The following is a 6,395-nucleotide window of genomic DNA, read 5'->3' on the forward strand; positions in this document are numbered from 1 at the left end:
GTCATCTGCAAAATAAAGCCCACATTCCTAAACTTAGCACATATCCAGCTCTTGATTGCTTTTCCAACCTTATCCAATACTAAGTCCCTGAATGAATGCCATACCATATTTTTCTCAGGAAGCACCAGGGTATTTTCTCATCTTCAGGTCATTTTTCACACACACATGTTATCTGCCTTGAATGCCATTTCCCATCTCATCTGCTTGATAATGTCCTTTTCATTCCTCAAGACCCAGCTCAAGGGCCTTCTATGTGAAGTGTTTCCAAAATCACCTAAAAAGCATTCATCAGTTCTTTCAGTGTGTAGTCTATTATAACCTATTGCTCTTATATCCTATATTTAATTTTTTCCTCACTATATCATGCATTCCCAATTATATATTGTCTTATTCTTTTCAAATCCAGAACCTACCACAGCATCCACTTAAATAGCAGTCTTCTACTAATGAATGAATGAATGAATGAATGAATGAGAATCTATATTCCCTCTGGACCCAAATGAAATTTTAAAATTACTTTAGGCCTTTCTCGTGAGACCTAAAAGGCTAGCAAGCTTGCATCATCATTATTGAAAGCACGTAGGCTATCTGATTCCACGCGGAGAAAATTAAAATAACAAAAGCAAAGATATTATCCATTAGGAAACTTGTGTAGTGCTGAGGCTGTGATATTTATCTTGCTCACTCCTAATTTTTTCAGATCCCTCACATCAGAGAAGCTAAGATCTTCCTTTGCCTTATCTCTGAATAAATTAAATTTCTGATTAGAGCCAATGGAAGGTTTTGCCCAAAGGAGATTTTAAAAATGAGAAAATTCTTGCAGGAGTGATTTCAAAGCTAAGTCCTCAACTGCAACAGGACAATATGTCACTGAGCTTTAAATTTAATAAAGGATCTGTAGCCCACACTTGTCCTTCTTAGAGTAATAGGGTGAGTGCTCTGGGAATCTTGCCAAATGCCCCAACTCTAAAATCCAGGTCTCCGTGGATACATAGAAAGACTAAGTGGTTTTCTACCATTTTAACCATTCAAATTATCATTACACAGTAATAACTGCTCTTTCTAGTTCTGTATGACCCAGAAACTTAACCAATATGTCTATACTTGTTTAGTCAAATCACTTGTAACAGACCAAGGAAGAGTTAAAAAAGATTTAGAAAAGATAAAAATAATTTCACTTCTGGAGTAGCAGTTGTTTGAGAGGGATCCATAGATTTGCCATATTAAGTATAGTTCTCCTAGTTTCTTAGATAAAGGGAAATTTTCCAACTGTGGAATAAGAAAAGATGATAGAAAGAAAGGTGTCTTAAGAAAAATAGACTTCCTAGTGGCACTTTGCCAGACATGTTTCTATCTGATTCAGTTTTCAATAGCTAGACAAACAGTCCTTTCCTGGATCCTGAGAAGAGGGATTGTCAATACCCAAAGATCAAAAACAGCTTGCCCATAAATCTATATAAAGTATAGTCAGTGTGGCTACAAGGCAGTATAGTTAAATTAGAAAGCCCTGAAAAGTATTTTGGTAAACACCATTAAACACTGTAAATTATTTATAATAAGCAAATTATTAAAAACCAGAAATATTGTTCAGTGAGATCACTAACCCAGTATCCACATAGCCAGATAAGTGTTCGGTTTCCACAAACAACTGGGAGTTCTTAGCAAACAGTCTGTGAAAAAGTATAACCTTATTGAAAGAGACACAAAAAGCAGAAGAAGATTGACACATAAAGATTAGGAAGCTCTTATTAGACAATTGTAGAGCTTAAGGTATTTGGCCCTCCAAGAAGAGTTGCTTACATAGCTATGTAAGGCAATATAGAAATGTGAAATCACAAAGAGATTTATAAACCAGAAAAGAACAAATCAATAAACAGCAAGAGATAAAGGAGAGAAATCTCACATTTAAAAAATAAGTAGTAAATATATTGAGAACCTAATACGCCTGCATATACTACTAGAGACATATTCATTTATGCAAAACTGATTATTAAGGACCTAATGAAAGGAATGGTTTCTATGAACCAAGGATTTTATCAGATTCTAATAAGGGAAACCAGTAGTTTAAGAGTTATGCCTATAGATAGGCCTAAGCCAATTATTTTAAAAATTTGTGTTTAGTTCACCCTTTGTGTGAATCTAGTTATGTTCATTAATTCATTTGTGTCTACAGTACTCAAAGAATCCTATTCAGGTGTGAAAGGAGAAACATTTTTGTCCAACTAGATATATAACCATCTAATTTGGGTGACTTGGCAGTAATAGAGGAGACAAGGTCTTTCATAACAGTTGCACTAGTCAATTCCTTGTGTCTGAACCGAAACCAAGGATGGTCAATCTCAGAACTTTTGGCATTTTGGATTGGTTATTCTTTTGTGAAAAGAGGTGCCCTATGTATTGTAGGATATTTAACAGCCTCTCTGGCTAGTAGTATGCATGCACATTCATGCACATGCACACAACGCACACACACACAGTTTTGTCAACCAAAAATGTCTCTGGGAGGGCAGGTTGCAAAATTGTCCCTTGTTGAGGAACACTAAGAATAAATAAATTTTAGATCTTATTTGAACATTGCCTAGCAAATAGCGGTAATAATTGCTACTGCACATACTAACCTTGGAGCATTTCAAGTTTAAGTTTTCGAATTTCTTAATCTCTTTAAATCAGATTTCCAAAGGTGACTTCGATTTTTCCAATGTCATTATATACTTGCATGCAGGAAGTTATTAGTCAGCTTAAACTGTCAGTGTTAAAATAAAATCTCTCCAAATTTCTCCACCACAAAATAAGAGTGTGTATGGGCACAAGAGAGAGAAAGAAGTGCATGGCTTTTTGTTTGTTCATTTTTTTTAAATACACATATGCATTTGGAAAAAGCATTTCTCTTCACCCTCTGAGGAACATTACAATCAACTCTTGTCATTCCAACAAATATGTCCTTTATTGTTGAAAATAATTCAAACCGCAAAGGAAGAGATGGGCCTGTACTCTTATAAGCACTTTTAATCTATGTAAAGTTAGGTTTAATTGATTCACTTGTTGATTCATACAGGGTCTCCACATTGGTGTCTGGAGCAGCTTGAACAGGGAGGGAAAAAAATAAAAATATCGAAAGTACTGTCCTCATGGCAGAGTTGATTGCAGTGATCAACTACCAGTTATATGATTTTGATGAAAATGGCTCCTAAAGAGGAATTCTTGTAAGAATACTGAAAACCATAGTTACATTGTGGCATTCCAGAAACAATTAGAATGTTATTGCGGTTTTCTGAATGGCCAAGTCTGTGGAGGAGGTGGCCATTCATGCCTTCTCCAACATTTCTCTGACACTACCTCTTTTCTATGGGTTTGTGAAAGATTTCTGAATCCAAATCTTCTCCAAGACTGTATCAGTATCCCTATCCTGAGACTTTCATGTGAGGCTGTTTGTGTCTTGGATGAGCAAGTAACACTATTTTATGATATTAAGCCCTATACTCTACAAGGTTCCCTTTAATTTGAATGTCTGTTCACCTGGGCTCTGATACATCCACATAGCACACAACAACCAACTAAGAAAAACCTGTACTCTTTGTTCTACAACCTGAGGTTAATGATGCACCAGAGTACTTGCACATGGCATTTGTAATTGGTCTCATTGGCATTTGACTGTCTTCTTATCGAAATGCATTTTGACTTTACTTGACCCTCTTATTCTCCTTGATTGGTTAGACCATCAGGGAGAACCTTCACCATGTTCTAGTTTTAGAACCCAGTCGTTGTACTGACCACTGAGTGAACACAAATCTGTACCTTTTGATATAGTTTGGCTGTGTCCCCACCCAAATCTCATCTTGAATTAAAGTTCTCATAATCCCCACATGTGGTGGGAGGGACCCAGTGGGAGATAATTGAATCATGGGGGCATTTTCCTCCATGCTATTCTCATGATAGCAAGTAAGTTCTCATGATATCTGATCATTTTATAAGAAGCTTCCCCCTTTGCTTGGCTCTGATTCTTCTCTCTCCTGCTGCCATGTGAAGAAGGATGTGTTTGCTTCCCCCTCTGCCATGATTGTAAGTTTCCTGAGGCCTCCTAAGCCATGTGGAACTGTGAGTCAGTTAAACCTCTTTCCTTTATAAATTACCCAGTCTTGAGTATTTCTTCATAGCAGCATGAGAACAGCACACAAAGGCATGTGATTCACCTTAAAATTCAAAATTCTGAGTCCTAAATCGTCTTATTTTTACTATACTTTATGGCAAATTGCATTTTCCAAAGATGGCAGCAGCATCTCCCATCACACATGCTCTCCTGAAACATCACCACTTCCCCATCAAGAGGTCAAGTCTATTTCCCCTCCTCTTGACCATGGGCAGGTCTTTGTGACTGCTTCAACCAATGAAATACAATAAAAGAAATTCTTTGGGACTTTCCAGAGTAGATCATAAAAACGTCATACATTTCTGCCTTGTTCTCTATGGATACTCACTATTGGGAACCCAGCCACCATGCTCTGAAGAAGCTCAAGCAGTCCATGGAGAGACTTGTGTGCAAAGAACTGAAAACCCTGGTCGACAACACTAGCTGAATTCCTAGCTAACAATCAGCATCTACTTGTAATTGAGTCATCTTGAAAGTAGATCCTCTATTTCCTGGGTTAACTTACTCAACCAACACCAAAAAGCATAAAGACAAGCCTGAGAAGAGACTATTTGAACCCTACCCAAATTGCAGATTTATGGCAAAATAAAAGATTGATGTTGTCTGAAGCCAGTGAATTTTGGGGTAGCAAATAGCAATAGATACAGCAATAGATATAACTGATACATACTTTATTATTTTAAGACTTAGCAAGTATTCTCAAAATATAATGAATTATAGGAATTTCTCCAGATAAAACATTTGAACAAGCACAATGTAAGCATATAGATATATAGATATATAGATATATAGATATTTTTTTTTTGAGACAGAGTCTTGCTCTGTCACCCAGACTAGAGTGCAGTGGCACAATCTTGGCTCAATGCAAGCTCCGCCTCCCAGGTTCACGCCATTCTCCTGCCTCAGCGTCCCAAGAAGCTGGGACTACAGGCGCCCGCCACCATGCCCAGATAATTTTTTGTATTTTGTTTAGTAGAGATGGGGTTTCACCGTGTTAGCCAGGACGGTCTCAATCTCCTGACTTTGTGATCCACCCGCCTCGGCCTCCCAAAGTGCTGGGATTACAGGCATGAGCCACCGCGCCCAGCTGTAAGCATTTTCAAATGAGGTTTATTATAAGATTATTTACATTAAAGAAAAAAAAAATTTTTAAAAGATGCTCAACAATTACGCACCATGTAAATAATATATGGCACATTTACGCAATTGTGCATAGTGGGCCACTGTTTTAACAGATGACTTTTGTAGTATATTAAGATAGAAATTTTTAACTAGTAACCAAAACAGCAGATTTTAAAACAGTATGCATACAATGATTAAATTTTTATGACATGTATTAGTGTGTGAATATGTATATTTATAAAAAGGAAAAAGTCTTCAAATCTATACTCCAAAATATGTACAAAGGTTACTTCTGTGTGAGAGGTGTATGTTATTTTTATGTTCTTTCCTGCTTATCTGAATATTCTACTTTTTCTTCACTAATCATGGTTTTAAATAATTTTTAAAACTAAATCAATCGAAGGGTTCCCTTTATAATTTTAGTGCAGGGTAAAGGATTGTGCCAGACCATCTTTGTCTGTACTTGTGTTTCCAGAAAGTGAATTAGCCTGCAGCATATTCAAATGCATACCAGGTGAGTAGTGCCATAACAGGATTCCTCTCTAATTCCTGATGTTTTATTTTCCCCTATTTAATTTTCCAGAGCCTCCAGATCAGGAGGATACAAATTCCTTTCCTTTCCAGAGTAGGAACCAGGAGGCCAGCAGCATAAATGCAAGCAAAGAAACTTCTTCATGTGTGAAGGATTAGGGGCTGGCAGCAATAGTAGCAGCAATAATGCCAACATTGAGTGTGATTTTTGAAAATCTCTGTCACTATGGGGAAAGGGATTCAAGTGATTGACTATTTCATGTGGAAGAAAAGGTTAATTCTTTCTTTGCATCTGAAAGGGCAAGTTTGGATAAAGCCCTAGATGATGGGAAAAGAGAAGAAGAAATTGGCCCCTCAAATAAGTCAACCTTTCCAACCCTATTTAAAACCAGCTTGCAGAAGTAGGTTTTCCCACTTCATTGTGTACACTCTGCCTTGTTTCCTTATCTTCTGTCTTCGAAAATTAAATTCAAAAACTGTGTGCTACACCTTCCCCCAGTTGCACTAAGAGCCCACATTATTGGTGCATCAGCTCATCAGTCCTCTGGGCTTCGAACAGATGTTTGTGTAGGGTATGGGGGTGGAGGTGGAGGGA

The sequence above is a fragment of the Homo sapiens genome, chromosome 9 (assembly GCF_000001405.40).
Source record: "Homo sapiens chromosome 9, GRCh38.p14 Primary Assembly".
In the NCBI taxonomy this organism is placed as follows: domain Eukaryota; kingdom Metazoa; phylum Chordata; class Mammalia; order Primates; family Hominidae; genus Homo; species Homo sapiens.